Raw genomic sequence first — 17,614 nt, 5'->3', positions numbered from 1 at the left:
TCTAACCTCACGAGCTAACTGCCTTTGCTCACCCCTGCACATAGGCCAAGCTAACTATGGGAAGAACTTAGTTTATAATTCAACTTTAAAGCAAGGATAATAGTCCCTTCCCAAAACCAACTCCTGAGTATATAAGGAGGGTGTACACACAAGTAGCAATGTTATGCTAAAGATTTATAGGAACACTGTGAACTAACCAAAGACAAAGAAGTTCTGCAAAATCTCTGGACCCCTCTGCTGATACCCAGATGTCTGTGGTCACTGGTTGCCTCCTGATCGCAACCCCTTGTTTGTTCCCCTTTCCCCAGTATAAAAAGAAGCTTGAGAGTCATGTCTTTTCAGATAGTTCTTTAGGATATAAGTCCACCATCCTCTTGGTTTGCTGGCTCTCTGGAATAAAGTCACCTTCTTTGTTCCAACACCTTGTCTCTCGACTTACTGGCTGCCAGGTGGCAAGTGGCACAAGCTTGGACTTACTTACATATATATATAGGCAGGTTCTGGAATCTTCCCATACTGGAATAGATGGCAGGGTCCTTGTAAAGTACTCCATGACATACTAAAACTTCCATTGCTCTAAATGTTATCAAGAGGATGTATCTGCCTGTATCCTGCTCCCTCACGCTAGAATTTAGCTAGCAAATATAAATCTTGTGTGTGAATGCGAGAGGTCAGATTTATTTCAGGTGCTCTTAGATGTCTCCCTAAAGTTAACCCCATTTTCAATTCTTATCCAAAGAATTTTTTTTCCCATCTTCTCAAGTAAAAAGTATTTGAGAATGCTTTCTTTTTCACTTTATTTATAATATCAGTTTTCCAATTTTTTGATCTCAGAACCTAATTCCTCATATCATTCTTTAAAATATCTAGTGATTCTTTCTGATTTGCATGCTAAATAATACTTCCTTCTAATCCTTTACATCTTATGGATATTTTTAGATTGCTACCACATCCACATTTACCACCTTCTATTGCTCCCTACTGGGTCTGCCCAGCTAAACTATACGTATTTAACTCTTCCAGTCTTCCGTTATCCACCAGACCAACCAGTCTCTTAAAATGGTGTTGGCCTCCTTTAGAACTCTTCTTGATTGTTGATGCCCTGTGGCCCTGCAGATCATCTCTCTGAGATGGCATTTGAAGGCACTCTTAAAATTGCATTTCAGGCCGGGCGCGGTGGCTCACGCCTGTAATCCCAGCACTTTGGGAGGCCGAGGCGGGCGGATCACGAGGTCAGGAGATCGAGACCATCCCGGCTATAACGGTGAAACCCCGTCTCTACTAAAAATACAAAAAATTAGCCGGGCGTAGTGGCGGGCGCCTGTAGTCCCAGCTACTTGGGAGGCTGAGGCAGGAGAATGGCGTGAACCCGGGAGGCGGAGCTTGCAGTGAGCCGAGATCCCGCCACTGCACTCCAGCCTGGGCGACAGAGCGAGACTCCGTCTCAAAAAAAAAAAAAAAAAAAAAAAAAAAAAAAAAAAAAAAAAAAAAAAAAATTGCATTTCAATATTTTATGCTTCCATTAAAAATAAGCAATACAGAAAGAGTCTTGTGGTAGTGATTAATGATGTTTGTCAAGTATTCCTAGTTTTCTCCCTTCTGTACACACGGTAGGAACGCATTTCCTGGGCCCTTATGATTGGCAGGGGCTTGTGACTGGCAAGTGAGTTATGAGTAATGAATCACTTCCAGACCATGAAAGACCCTCTAGAGTGCTGTTTTCTCTCTAGAATGGTGACTGCCAATGTTCGAGATAGTGGCTGCTCTGTTAGCCTTATTTCTTGAGTTGCTACAATGAAGAGAAACTCTTATGCCAAGCTCTACTGTCCATGTAACAAGAACAAGGAGTATACTCTTGTCATTTTAAGCCTCTGAGACTGGGGAGCTGTTTGTTATTGGAGAATTACCTAAGTTGTCCTAACTGATACAACTCTAGCAGATACCCTTAGATGCCCCCATGTATATAGGTGCCTATGTTACACTCAGCAGTCTGTTATAATATAGTTCTGAATATGTGAACATGGCAAATCTCTACTGGATCCTATACCATATAAAATTGATGCCTTTACCTAGACCCTTGCCGTGTGTCAGTCAGATAGAAATCAGTCCAGAAGAGGTAACACATTCTGAACCTCTTGTCAAAGACACAGAGACCCAAGATACAGAAAAACTAGGTATCCCCCAAATCTTCAACACAAGAATTTCAAAATCATGTCTGGTATAATTAAGCATATTGGATCTTGGACTCAAATACTGTGACAGCAGCAGGAATAAATAAGTGTTCTGGGACTTCTCCTTCCCAGAACCCAATGCTTCATAGCACACAAATTACTCCTTCAGCTGGCTGCCATTTGATATTTCTATTTAAAAATGAAATCAATGAGCTTATTTTTCCACTGAAAAAATGGTTAACCTGTTTCTCTCAGACTTAGATAAAATGGAATGTTTTAGATAAGCTACTTTTAAAAGATTTTGAATGTAACTTAATATCATCTTGGTTCATATTTTAAATGTGTGTATGTATGCATATGTGTGTATACATACATACAATATAGAAAAAATATATTTTAAATATATATTTTAAATAAATACATATAAATAAAATATATTTTTAAAATATGTATTTTTCTATATTGTATGTATACACACATACATATATACGTTTGTATATACATACTATATATATATTTAAAAAACGTGAATGGATTTTTGATATGTTAACTCCTTCTATTCTATTACAACTACTCTCATTTCCCTCTTTTCTTTTCAATCTTTATCACTATGGAAACATATTTTACAAACTTCAATTTATATTACACATAGAAATTTTGTTCTTTGTATTTTATCTGCCATTATTTTATGGATTCTTTAATTTCAACATAGTCTTCCCAGATTTTCTCCCATTTTTATCGGAATAAGTTTCATTAGACTGAAATTCTATTAAATGATGTGAAATTGCCATTTATAGGTCAAAAATAGTTGAAAAGACAATTAAGTCAATATAATACAATTTTCTTAACTATTCTTTAGTGGTTGAACATGCTGATTATTTTCAGATTTTAACCTCAGAATAAGTTTTCTTTAAGTATCCTTATTCATTGATTTAAAAACTACTTTTTTAGTATATATGCCCAGATATAGGATTACTACCTAAAATGTTATTCTTTCCTTTATTCCTTTCTGGTGAACTTCCATGTATCCTTTGAGATCCAACTCAAATGTTTCCCTTTTTGTGAAGACATTAAATATTCTCCCTGCTCCCCACAACACTGTACGTATTTTGCAGCACTAACTCTTCCATGGCTCCTGAAAGTTTCAGTCTACAAGTCTGCCTTCACTGGCCTCTCAGCTGTAACTTACTCTCTTGTAAGTCATCTGTGTTGCTAACAGTGCTTGGAACACAGTAAATGCTCAATATGTGTTATGAAATGGAATGAGTAAATGGTTGTGCATGCTCTCAGGCACACAACATTTGCATGTGATATTTGATATTTAGCCCTAGGGCTGTTGGTCTCAAGGCAGAGCTCTGAAAAGCTCAGATTCTTTTGTTTTTATTTGAAGAGGTGGGAAGTGTGCTTTGAGCTAATTGACAACCAGTAGGCTCCAATATCTTTGTTTTTGCCCCTCAGCCCTGGTTCCTACCTTAACTGGATATTCACCTTTCTTGGCATCATACTGTGCTAAATATTTGTCTTTGACTTTTTCCACTTCCTGAGCATTCATTTTGTACCTGCCCTCCACTCTCCAAGTTCAATCTCTTTAGTTTGCTTTCACCTTAATGTCTGTAACTTTATTGATTCTTTAAAAGAGTTGTTTTTATGTAAATGCTTCCTGTTTTTTTTTTTTTTCTTCCAATTTTACCAACTTATTTCCACCTTCTCTATTCCTTCTTGGGGAGCCATAAAGACTGCATCCTAATTGCAATCCTGGATGATTTTGACTAAAAGTTAGGGTATAGGGTAAAATTCTCTAATTTGTTCTTTATGGACCTGAAGACAGGCAGGCAGCACACTAAAATTTCTAGTGAGGACTATTGATTTCCAAGCCCTCCTTCATGGACGGCGCACTCTCCTATACTTAAATATCAAGCAATACCCTGCAATAGTGCTTCTCTGAAAAGTAGTGTTCTTTCTTTTGCCAGTTGTTAGCTGTGTGACCTTGAGCAAGATGCTTAACTCTTTGAGACTGTTTCCTAACCAGGATATTTATAGCTATCACATGAAGATGAAGAGGTTAAGTGAGATGATGCACTTAATATTTCAACTCCTTAACACAGTGCCTGACACAATATCCATGCTTCCTAAGTATTGATGTACTCTTTATTTTGAAATGTTTCATCCTGATTAACTATACTATTTGTTAACTTGAGAAAATCTACATAATGCCCTCCCGCTGGGACACTCAGAGGACTAAGAACTTTTATATAAGGACTAATTTGAATAATATTCTCAGAGAGAGACTTAGAGGCAGGGTTGGGACAGAAGGAAAATGTGGAAGGGTGAACTCCCATGGAAGGTACTTTGAATACATAGTAGAGGCTTCAGTTCGTACTAGGTGACTTTTCTGCTGGATGCAAAGCCATTCACTGAGTTGTCCTTCTTTCATTTCTCTTACCATGCTCTAATGTCCCAACTCAACATATTTACATTATTTCCAGATAGGAAAACATCTTTATATATATATATTTTTTAAACCACTCTACTGAGATACAATTTACATATAAAAAGCTGCACATATTTAAAGTATACAATTCCATGAGTTTGAGAAGTATATACCCATAGAACCATCACTATCATCAAGACCATAAATATATGCATCATCTCCTAAAGTTTTCTCCCACCTCCTTTATTATTAAAATTGTTAATATGTGTATGTGTGTGGTAAGAACACTCAACATAAGATCTACCCTCTTATTGTACACACTTCAAGTATATAATACAGTATTGTTAGCTATAAGCATTATACTGTATAATAGATCTTCAGAGCTTATTTATCTTGTGTAACTAAAACTTTGTACCCTCTAATCATCACTTTTCCATTTTCTCCTTTCCTGGTAACCACCATTCTACTCTCTGCTCTATGAGTTTGACTATTTTAGGTTCCATATATAAGTGAGATCATACAGTATCTTTCTATTTCTGGCTTATTTCACCCAGCATAATGCTATTCGGGTCTATCAAGGTTGTCACAAATGGCATGATTTCCTTCTTTTTTAAGGCCGAATAATCTTCTATTGTATGTATACACCACATTTTCTTTATCCACTCATCTATCCATGAATGTTTAGGTTGTTTACATATCTTGGCTACTGTGAACAATGCTGCAATGAACAAGGCAGTGCAGATATTTCTTCCAGATCCGAATTTCAATTCTTTTGGATGTATACCCAGAAGTGGGTTTGCTGGATCAGGTGGTAAATCTATTTTTAATTTGTTAGAACTCTCCATGCTGTTTTCCATAATGGTTGTATCAATTTATACTCCCACCAACAGTGTACAAGGGTTCCCTTTCTGCCAAATCCTCACTAACACTTAACTAACACTTACCTTTTTTTAATCTATGATTGCCTTCCTAACAGGTGTGAGGTGGTATCTCTTTGTGGTTTTGATTTGCGTTTCCCTCATGTTTATATTTTCTTGGGAGAAATGTCTATTCGGATCCTTTGCCATTTTACAATCAGGTTATTTGGGAATTTTGTTTTCTATTTGTGTGTATGCTATTGAGTTGTAGCAGTTCCTTGTATATTTTTTATATTAACCATTTATCAGATATATGACAGACAAAAATATTCTCCCATTTCAGAGGCTACCTCTTCATTTTGCTGATTGTTTCCTATGCTGTGCAGAAGCTTTTCATTTTGGCATAAACTTGTTTATTACTTTTATTGCCTGTGCTTTTAGTGTCATATCTAAAACATTATTGCCAAGACCAATGTCAAGAAGCCTTTCCCCTACATTTTCTTTTGGAAGCTTTATGGTTCCAGGTTTCACATTTAAAGCATTAATATCATTATATGTTTATGAGTTCTCTACTTCTTTCTCCTCCTCCTCGTCCTCCTCTTCTTGATTCTTCTCTTCCTTTTCTACCTCCTTATTCTCTTCCTTCCACTCTTTTCTTCCTTTCCATGACTCCTTTTCAATTCTTTTTCTTGTGTATTGCAAAAGAAGATTTTTGTCTATTGCAAGGATAAAGTCTAATATCCTGATTACTTAAACCTACTTCAGATAATTGATGACCCTTAAGAAATACTGTCAGCTTTTTTAGCCTGGTCCCCTTGGAAATATTTATTACCTTTTTGTGTTACATTTGCAAATCTCTACAATAACCTATCAGGTGATATTACCTTTTCTCATTCATATTAAATAAACATTGAAGCTTATGATTTGTTTGTCCACATTTGATTTCCTATTAGCATATATTCCACTGGTTTTCATTAACCCAGGTGTATTTCAATTGTCAATCTTATCTAATATTTATTACCACACAGTTGTGTTTGAGCCTTCATATTTTGACCTCACTTTTTCTGGGTATTTATTAAAGCTTTGTGTATAAAGCGGGAAGGGGTATTCACTTTCTCTTGCTTGTTATAACAAATTACTGCAAATTCAGTGGCTTGAAGCAACACAAATTTATTATCTTACATTCTGTGTGTTTTAAGTCTGACAGATCTCACTGGCTAAAATCAAGGTGTTAACAGAGCTGTGTTCCCTCTGGAGGATCTAAGGGAGAATTCATCTTCTCATCTTTTCCATTTCTTAGAGGTCACCTGCATGTCTTGGTTTATAACTCTATTGCCTCATCCTTAAACCAGTAATGATGGGTTGGGTTGTTCTCATATCACATCACTCTGACCTACTCTTCAGCTTCTCTCTTCTACTTTTTAGAACTAGTGATTACATTGGACCCACCAGGATAATTTAAGATAATCTCCCTATATTAAGTTCAGCTGATTAGCAGCCTAATTTCCACCTGCAACTTTAGTTCCCCTTTGCTATGTAACTAACATATTCACAGGTGTACCCGCACACATGCACGCACTTACACAAGCATATATGTCTACACTCTCCAAAGAGATGTTCTGTATCATTAGAAAAACCACAGGCTACTTTTACCAAAGATACATGTTCCGTCCATTCTGATGCTTTTGGGTGAAGTATCTTCTGGAAAATTACTAGCTTATATTACAGTGCTTAGTTTACCGTTTACAAAAATCCCTTTCAATACAATAAATTCTTCTGTAAATGGGCAAAGAATAATTTTATTCTTTTCCATTTTATAATGAAAACTGGCAAATTGCCACATTTCTTTTTCTATATTCTAAGAACCTCAATACTGAGTTTATTAGATAGGTTTTCTCACAGAATGTTTCTTTACTGCTTTTTCCCTAATTTTCACAAATAACACATGAAACAGTTCTATTCAAAATATTTTAAAGATTGTATAATGAGCTTATTTTTTGAAAATTCAAATGATATAGGATAAGGCAAACTTGTTGCTACATTTTGATGACCAATTCTTAAAAAATAATTATCTCCCATCTTTTTTTTTCTCTTTGAGTTTTAGTTTGAGTAGTTTCTATTGATTGATTTTTGAGTTCACTGACACCTTATCAAAGTATTTCCTCATTATAGTGACTGTGGTTTTTATTTATAAGATTTCCATTTGACTTTTTCTTATAGTTCCTATAAATTCTTCTTTTATGCATGTTGCCCACTTTTTCCACTAGAGCCTTAAAATATCAGTCAATTGTTATTTTAAATCCTCTGTCTGAGAGTTCTAACATTGAGCCATTTTTCAGTCTAATTCTGTTAATTAATTTGTCTCTTAACAGTGAGTGGGATTTTTTCTTGCATTTTTGTGTGTTTTGTAATTTCTGATTGAATGATGGACATTCCGTTTAGGACAGTAGACTCTGGGGTAGAGTCCTTATACCTGAAAGTGGACATGCCTCTTAAATTGCTCTGCTGTTAGTGTGGGGACTTGAGTCAAACTAGCCAGGAGCTGAGCTGAGTTTCAGTGTTGCTGCTATGGTTACTTTCAGTTCAACACTGGCTTCAAAGTCCTCTAGCATTACCTTATGCTTCATGCCAGAGAGTTTTTCTCAATGCCTCCTTCCATTTGCCTTTGTCATTCATTCATTCATTCATTCAACTAATAACGATTAAATATCTTCTATTATGTACCAGGCACTGTTCTAATTATATAAAAATAAGACGGGCAATATTCTTGCTATCATGGAGAATATATTTGAACATTTTCTACTATTTCTTTTGCTTTTAAAATACATGTTCATTTTAAAAAATATATTTTAAAATAATAAATATACAGGTGAGAACGTGGGGAAATAATTTACCTCATATTTTTCAGATTAAGATATTAATGGCCATGCTCATTTCAGAGGATAATTAGGCCTAACTGAATTGTATATTTTAAAAGTGTATTCCCCTATGACCCAGGGATTTCACTTTTCTTTTTTTAACCTAGAGAAATAAATGTACATGTTTACATGGAGGTTAACACTAGGACATTCACTACTACATTGTTTTAGAGAAAAATTGAGGAAAAAATAGATGTCCATTAATAAGAGAATAGACCCTAGTTCATGCATACACTGTGAAATAACATGCAACAGGTATAATAGAGTAGATCTGTATATAATGACCTAAGTATCTCCAAAGCAAAATGTTTTTTAAAAAGTATAAAATTATATATGCGATATGATACCTTTTTAGAAACAATTTTTAAAACCCAAAACTATAAATTTGCCTGTGAGATGCCCTTTGCCCTGAACAAAGGCACGTGTGACTTTGTGGTGCTTCAGTGTCTGGCTTGGGGCAAGGAAACTTCTGTTCAAGTGTCCCTTTCCCTGATACCTACACTGACACCCATCATACTCTTTTCCCTCTAGAGGGTCACTGTGTCCCCTTCCCTTCATCACCACCCCCGCCAGGCACTGGCAGCATAGAATACTGGTTCCTGATCTCTAAACTCTGAATTTCCTAATAATTTATGGCCTTAACACAAATGCAGGTCCCTTGTCCTGGTGTTATGCATACCTTTCTCTTTCTCTTATCTCTTTCTCCTAATCCTGGTAAACCTCTAGTGTGAATAAGAGAAGCTTCACTTTACCTCCTGTCTCTGTTTAAGCAATTTGGGGAACTGTGAAAACTACAAACTTCCTCCCTTCTTAACCGTCTCTCAGAATGGATGTTAGGTTTTTCGAAACAAATCCAGGAAGACTTTTGTGACATTCATTCTTCCTTTCATGCTACCACCTCGTTCTCCAGAGGCAAGGGACATGGAGTGACCACATGTTAGAAACCAGAGCAAGAAAATGAGGGAATAGCTTTGTTGTAGTTTGTGGCTTCTAAAAGTGCCTAAGAGATATTTTTAAATAAAATTTTCACTTTTTCCCTACACTTGTGTCTTAACATCTGCTGACCAAGTTTATTGTGTTTTCTTGCTCCAGGCTGACAACTATAAAAATTGTTCCTATTTCTTTTTTTTTTTTTTTTTTTTGAGACGGAGTCTCACTCTGTCACCCAGGCTGGAGTGCAGTGGCACAATCTCGGCTCACTGCAAGCACCGCCTCCCGGGTTCATGCCATTCTCCTGCCTCAGCCTCCAGAGTAGCTGGGATTACAGGCGCCCGCCACTATGCCCGGCTAATTTTTTGTATTTTTAGTAGAGACAGGGTTTCACCATGTTAGCCAGGATGGTCTCGATCTCCTGACCTCATGATCTACCCGCCTCGGGCTCCCAAAGTGCTGGGATTACAGGCATGAGCCACCGCGCCTGGCCAATATTTTAATTTTATGTTCTAATTAATATTTAAGGCAAAGTTCATATTTTAAATTAAATATCATTTAGTTGTATGAGGAAGGATGGCTTCCAGCCAACAAAAACGTTCTCCTTAACTTCCCAGATACTTTTAGGAAGACTCAGATAAAGTTTCAAGCATCCAGTTATATTTAAGACCTGCCTGAATATGGCTGCACAGTATCTAATATCTAAGTTATTCACTAGCATGGTTCTAGCTGCATGTTAATAAAAGTAAAATGACTGGAATTTCATGATTTCCGATTATTTATATGTACATCTGGAAGATTTTATTTCCCAAAGAAGGCTGCAATAATACATTTTATTCCACATGCTCCTCTTAAAATGTGACCTTTCCACATTCATAGATATGACAGGCAGAGTCTATTTCTCTTTTTCCTGGACTTGGGCATATCTTTGTGACTGCCTCAACCAGTAGGGCACAGTGGAAGTGTCACTATATAACTCGTGAGGCAATGAAAGAGCTGCACCTTCTCCCTAGATCTGTCTTAGAACACTTGCTTTTGGTACCCAGTCACTACCATCTCACACCCAGCTGTGAGGAATCCCAGGTTACATGAAGAAACCATTTTTATAGGTGTTCTGGCTGACAGCCGGCATCACCCAGCAGACATGTGAGGGAGGCAGTCTTCAAGATGACTCCAGTCCCTGTTAATGTCTAGTTGCAACTTCATGAGAGACTCTGAGTGAGAATCATTTAGCTGAGCCTACCCAATACCCAGACTGTATGAGATAATAATAAATGAGGATCGAATTTGTTTAATACCTTTAAATTTGTTGTTTTGTAGACAGGTATAACTAGAACAGCACATTGGACCAAAAACAACCCTGAATTCGAAGTGTCAAAATTGTTGAAATCACTGGCTTGTGGTTTCACTGATACTAAATTTTTCCATCCATCTCTTTATCTTGCCACAAACATGGGAAGCACGAGAGCTCCCTATCTCATACATCTGCAAAATTGTACTTTACACTAGCTATCCAAAATAATGTATCTTTCCAGGGCACCAAGGAGAGCAAGCGATGGCCTTCCCAGGGAAAAACACATCTTTCAGTTTTGCAGCAGGTAGTGTATGATTCATACATGGGCTGATTGGATGGGAATGAGGAGAGAAAAATCACAGAATGGGCAATAAGAATTCTGTTGGTTTGACTCAAGGCAAATGAATCTGGGAGTACTCAGGATAGTGCTCATTTTGGAATTTAGTCTGCTTGTGACTATTTCCCTTAAATAATAAACCATTCAAAACCTAGTGGCTTAAAAACACCATTTCTTTAACTCACTATTATGTGAGTCAGCAATTTATGCTGTGCTTAGTTGGGCAGTTATTCTGGTCTCAGATGGACTTTCTCATGTGTCTGTGCCCAACTGCAGATAAGGCCTCGCTGATGACAAGGGCAAATGGGAAGACTGGGCCACATGTCACTTGTTCTCTATCAGGTTAGCCTGAGCTTAGTCACATGGCAGTGGAATAGTTCCAAGAGAAAGAGCAGAAGCATTTAAGCCTCTTCTGGCCTTGGTTTAGAACAGGCACGCTGCCACTTCTACCACATCCCATTGGCTGAAGCAAGTTACAAGGCCAGCCCAATACAAGGGATGGGGAAATACACGATACCTTTTCAGCAGATGAATTGAAAGTCACATTGTAAAGGATGTAGAACACAGGAAAAGGTAAAAGAAAACCATTTTTGTGATCATTTAGCCCTTGTTTTGGTTTATTATTGTGCTAGTCCTACAGATCAGGTTATATAAAGCAGTCTGATATGAAGTAAAAACAGCTGGATTCTAGGCATTTATTCACAAGGCTCGAGTCATACCTCGGGAAGATATAACTAGGTTTGTGAGTAGTTCACATATTCTATAGATATTTATAATTTGTATTTTTTAATACTTGCCAGCTGCTTGACATTAACATTTTCCCTGTAGTGTCCCAATTTCTTGTGTCTGAAATCATACGGGTTCTGCTTATAGCAGACAAACTGAGTTCCACCGAGATATACAGGTTGGTAATGATTAAACCAGTGTGAATGAATAGGGAGGAGAAAAGTTTCAGAACTTCTACCTGATAGTTGAATCAGAGAATCACAAATGTTCAGTGGTAAAAGAGAATTTCAACTAACCCCTTTAACTCTGATGGGATGGATTAATCAATAATGATTTGTGTGTATTAGAGAGGGAGAGAGAGAGACTAATTGACTCTAGATATTTATAGGCACACAAGAGATAAGGTGAGAAAAATAATTAAGATGTATTGATTTATTGTGCTTGTAACTAGACTTTATAAACTCAGATGCTCAGAGATGGAGTCAAACCTTAATAAGAACTTTAATTTCTCATTTAGTAAGAGATTAGTCTTTACGGTTTTCCACTCTTCCTGACCACCATTTTGATCACTGCTTAATGTTCCAGCAATTAGAGGTACGTAATTTACTTAACCATTTCCCCGTTGTTAAATACTAATATTGTCACTAGTTCCTTATGTTTACAAATAGTGCTGCAATAAACATTTCTGAGCACAGCATGTTCTCCTCAGCTTGGGTATGAGCTTCACAAGGGCAGAGAGTTGTCTAAAGTATGGGTTTTCAGTGGCTAGAACAGTGCCTGGCACAAAGTAGGTGCCTAACAACATTTTAAAATATCTTTTGAACAGATAGAGTTGTCCTCATATTTTAAATTCTTTACTCAGGAGAGAGTCCCAGATGTCTATGCCTTCAGAGTATTCTTACCTGAATATCTCATTTGAGGAGAACAAATCACATACACAGTTTGTCTTCAATGTAGAAAAACTTGATAGAGACAGTTAGCAGCAAAACTTCCTTTTGCTTTTGTTCTCTAGAAAGAGATAACAAACTAAATGAGTAGGACTGACTGTATTAGAAAGCTGGACAGAGAAAGGGAAGAGAGTTAGCATTTCCTGTTTTCTGCTATATGCCAGGCACTGTGCTAAATATGATACTGGCAACATCTCATGTCATCCTCACAGATGTGGGTGCAATCATAACCATACTCAAATGAAAATTCATCCCTCTAGGACATTATGTAATTTGTCGAATTCCAAGGTTATCCACCTGGCTAATGGTAGAGCCAGGATTTGAATTCAAACATTTCTGGCTTCAAAGCATTTCTTCTTCGTCTTTTTATTTATTTTTGTAACCTTTCACTACCTCCCTGGAAACTGAATTGGATAGATAACTTAGAAAATCCTCCAACAAACTAACCTTAAAATTTTCTAATTCCAGTCCTGAGTCCATACAGGTTTTCCATCTGAGGCCAGAATGCTAAAACCCAAGGCATTAAAGTGCCAATTTAGGGAAGATTGTCTCTGTGGGTTGCTGACCTGCTCTGCAGTGACTTTCAGCTTTGCTTTATCATGACCTGGTCCCTCTTTGAAGATTGTCAGGAGAAAAGCAGCATCTTTCTCTATGTCCATAAAATATACTGTTTTCAATGATTCAGTTTTGAGCTCTCAGCCACATTAACAGGTTTTCAGGGGGAGATTCCAGGGTTTCCCTCCGTGAACATTTTGTGCTTTGAGGATGATGCTAAGGGTCTCAGCTTAGATGTCTGTATTTTGATGTCATTTACAGCCTTGCTGTGAGAAATTCAGTGCATTGTGACATAGGTCTTTCCATTAAACAGTGTCTGTCCGTGCTGTCCTGACCCCATCCCAGGCTAAGTGCAATGTATAGCCAGCATCTGCTGACTGCCTCCCCCTACTTCAATTTTATAACACAGAAAATGCAGCTGGGCAATTTGTCAACATTTTTCTTCTGTGCAAACCAGAAGAGTTTGTAATAGTCTACTGTTCTATACCCAGAGCAGAGGTCTGAGGCTTTTGAATGATAGTTCCCAGTTTTCTTGACCCTTTTCTGTATGAATTACCTTGTTAGAATAAACTGAACATTTCCCACAGACTTTAAGTTGCAGACTTCCCAGATGAGGAAATGCTCTACTAGTATAACCGCAGAACAGTGACATAAGAGACTGGACAAGGAGTAGATGTGGTTGACTTACTCACTTAGTCCATTCCCTGTTCTCTCCCATATTTCTACGGCCTCAAATCTCTGGTGCCCGTTGGAAAGGAAGTCTTGCACTCTACTTTGATCAGGTGACCAGAACCTGATTCTCACCAAAGTCCTTCTGGTCATGTTCTGCATTAACCTTTCTCTCTTACTTTAGATGCATAGCCTGATTTATGAAACCGACCCTGAATTTATCTTTCCCCTGAACTTCCCCCACCCTATTTCCTAGACCTGAAAGATCAGTCCATCTGATTAAAACCATTTTATTATTACTACTATTACCCTAGCAGTGTCCCTGTCTACATTCTTTTTTTTTTTTTTTGGCATTTGGCTTAGTTCTTTTCAAATCCTAGCGCGGCTTGGAGGCATTGCCACTAGGCAATGTACCTGGACTGAGTCCTGAAGTTGAGCATTTACTGAATACTTATCAGCACTCAGAAGCCTGAGAAAATACTACTTGAGTACACTACAGTTTATACTCTGGAATATTTTGCACTATAATGCCCAGTTTTGGAAAGCACTAACCCACAGTTGAGTCATGTCTTTGATAATAAGTAACGACCCATACCTCTCCAACCTGCCCGATTTCTCTTTTATTGACTGACATATTACTTTGGCAGAGACCTTTAGGACACCTGATTTTGATTCTACTATTGTTTCTATTTAAGGTCACAAGGCAACTTTTTTTTTACCCTAATCGTATAGATTCAACTCTTCAGCAGTGATATTATATATATATATATATATATATATACACACACACACACACACACACACACACACACACACACGTATATATGTACCTATATATATATGTACCATATATATATATATGGTACATATATATATATGGTACATATATATATATATGTATGGTTTCCAGTGACTAGACAGAATTTTATTGGGAAATGCAATAAAGTGCAAAAACAAAGCGGACCCTATTTCAATCTGGAAAGCAGCATAAGCTTTTTAGAAAATTCCAGGTACTGTCTGAGTACTGATTGATTGGCCTGCTGTGGGCATTACTAATAGAAGCAGTTTATTTCTCCAAGGCCCTTTGAAAAAATGATGGAGGCTACCCATGAGTATCATCTGAGAAAATATATATTTATGTACCACAATCCAGGGTTCTGGATACTTACTCTACTAGACATAAGTCCCTACTTGTATTTTAAGCTCTGTCCTTTTTCTCATCTCTACCTTTTTCTTTACAACCCATATGGGAGACATTTGAAAATTTTTCTAGATGAATTTTTGCTATGATGATCTGATGCATTTACCTCTAAAATAGTTCCCAATCCCATGCCCTTCTTTTCACCCACACTGAAGCCTTCTTAGTGTTTCTCTTAGAAAATTAAGAAGTTGCCTGTTAGGCATGTCTGCTTTTGGCCTGGCCTTCTTCCATTGCTACCAAAGTAGGTCCCAAGGAGTATATATCTAATCGTGTCACTTGCTTATTCCAAACCTTCACCATGGAATTAAGGCCACACCCTTAGGATGACATTCAAAGCCTCCAAAATTATAACCCCAATATTCCTTTTTTTGAATGATCTCCACCCTGGCTTCCCCAGCCTGCACATGGACAACATCAGGAGCAGTAGGAGGGCCTCATGCAGGGCTATTCTTCCCACAAAAGTTACTGCACTAAACAGAATTGAGAGAGTCCCTACTTTTCTCACCCGTTAAATATTTTGGCAAGTAATAGCTCAGATCCAATGGCTCAGATGGCCATTTATCCGTCCATCTAGTCATCAGTAAATATTTGGTGAGCAGTTACTCTAGTGTTATGCACTTGCAAGGAGCTAAGAATATATAGGTTTCTAAGCTGTCTTCAAGAAGCTTGTCATGTGATAATGGTAGGAGACCTGCAAACAGGTCTGTATTATTAGGTGTTAGGAGAACTGCAACACAATCTCAGTAGTTAAATAGGGGCACAAACTCTCTTGGCATGGTTAGGAAAGGTTTTCAGGCATCACATATTCTCACTTATAAGTGGGAGGTACACATTGGATAGGTACAGACACAAAGATGGCAACAATAAACACTGAGAATTACAAAACAGAGGAGGGGGACAAGTGTTTAAAAACTACCTATCTGGTATTATGTTCATTACTTGGGTGACAGGATCATTAGAAGCCCAAACCTCAGCATCACACAATATACCCATGTAACAAACCTGCATATGTACCCTCTGAATCTAAAATTAAAAAGAAAAAGAAAAGGTTTGTGGGAGAAAGAGATGTATGAAATACACACACACACACACACACACACACACACACACACAACACACACACACACACGCACCAACAAAAAACAATCCACCTGATGTTTAAGGATCTCGGAAACTAAAGACTGCTCTATTACACTTGTTCTTTGATGATAGAGACAGCAATAACTCTAACTGCTGGCATTGGCCACTTCGTTACTAACCCTAGGATAATCTGCACATGGAGGCCACTGAATTGTCATGCTGGGTATGTTTTACCAGTGAGTGATTGCAGTGGCTGAAGGGGATCCAGGCTTCTATTTAAAACAGTGATTGTATGTGGCCCCAAATTTAGTGATAGAGCCTCATTCAGGGTTGCTGAGGAATGTAGGAAAGGGAGGAGGTCGTGAAAGAATATTACTTCAGTTTATTTAATAGTTAAATTCAGAGACTGGGGGTAACAACAAAATTTTAAAAAACAAAATTAAAGACAAAACACAACACCAGAGTAGGTAGAAAATAATTATCTTTTCCAGCATAGTCCTAATTCTGTGAACCACTCTTGCCCATAGGGTAGGCTCAGTGAGATGAAATGAAATACACTCTTGCAGGCCCGTGAAGGAGGATTCTGAGCCTAACCCAATTCCTTGGGTGCCACGTCTTAAATGAGATTATAATAGTGGTAATATTTAGTATCACAGCTCTGTTCCTTGCCTTGGTCTTAATGATGCTGCCCAGAGCTTAACCTTTAATGAGTTTATTTTTACTTCAGGAAAATGTCCTTGCCCAGCTAATTGTGTCTTTCCTAACTCGATTATATCTGGTCTCTCATGGGATAGCTTAAAAAGTTAAAAACATATCCGTGGTATTGTTCATATTTTTTTTCTGTCGGAGCCAGTTTTCAAAACTCCACAAAGTGAGTAAATACAACTTAAGCTCTTTGGAAATTCCTTGTCAGGAGAGTTTGAAAAAAAAGTGTCTTTAATTGACTATGGGACATGCAAGTTCAATTTAATTTCAAAGTGTAATGAAGTTAAGCTTTGCATGCTTTTATCTTATTAATTTCTTTTGGGTTTGTGGTTTTTTTTAAAAAGTGAAGATGGAAAAATAAAAGCTTCCAAGTAATCACTTTTCTTGGTGAAATTTGAGTTATGGATGGCATTTGCAGTAATACCATATTAACAGAATATGATATACCACCTGATATACATTGAGGTGTCCTAATTCAGCTGATTATTTGATCAGGCTGAGAAGAGAAGAAGAAGTCATTCCTTGCTTGCTTCTAAACACTTGCCTAGTTGAGAAAAAGTTGGAAGGTTGAAACACTTCCTTTCTGGACTCTCAAATATCACAAAAAACTATCATATCAGACTCAAAGATCACTTCTTCCAGGAAGCTTTTTTTCTCATCACCACCTCATAAACTAGGCTGGATGATGTTCCTAGGTGTTAATTTTCATAACACTGTAGGTATACATTTAACATCAGACTTAGACCATTTTTTGTGTTTGTAATGATCTGATTTTATATGTCCCCTAACTCTC

At 37.4% G+C, this 17,614-nt stretch overlaps 1 protein-coding gene and 1 long non-coding RNA gene across 12 annotated transcripts in view; one reads left to right on the top strand and one right to left on the bottom strand.

The window, feature by feature from the left end:
- The window catches only part of LOC105374113 (uncharacterized), a 69,117-nt gene extending 55,858 nt beyond the window's left edge, over window positions 1–13,259 (bottom strand). For 2 of the 3 annotated variants that reach the window (XR_007096088.1, XR_007096090.1), the window contains exons 1-2: window positions 13,059–13,140; window positions 12,567–12,672 (exon numbers count right to left, since the gene is read on the bottom strand). This is a non-coding gene — a long non-coding RNA (uncharacterized LOC105374113). Of the gene's footprint in view, window positions 1–12,566; window positions 12,673–13,058; window positions 13,141–13,177 lie in introns of those variants that run through there. The other variant, XR_007096089.1, reaches the window with a different exon arrangement.
- The window catches only part of CPNE4 (copine 4), a 506,038-nt gene that overhangs the window by 223,538 nt on the left and 264,886 nt on the right, over window positions 1–17,614 (top strand). Inside the window, exon 1 of one of the 9 annotated variants that reach the window (XM_011512408.3) lies at window positions 11,465–11,511. The exons of the other annotated variants lie outside the window; for them this stretch is intronic. The gene's annotated coding sequence lies outside the window, so the exon portion shown is untranslated. Of the gene's footprint in view, window positions 1–11,464; window positions 11,512–17,614 lie in introns of those variants that run through there. 9 annotated transcript variants of the gene reach the window in all.

This window comes from Homo sapiens, chromosome 3 (genome assembly GCF_000001405.40).
Source record: "Homo sapiens chromosome 3, GRCh38.p14 Primary Assembly".
NCBI classification, from domain to species: domain Eukaryota; kingdom Metazoa; phylum Chordata; class Mammalia; order Primates; family Hominidae; genus Homo; species Homo sapiens.
This window is presented reverse-complemented; position numbering and strand designations above follow the sequence as displayed.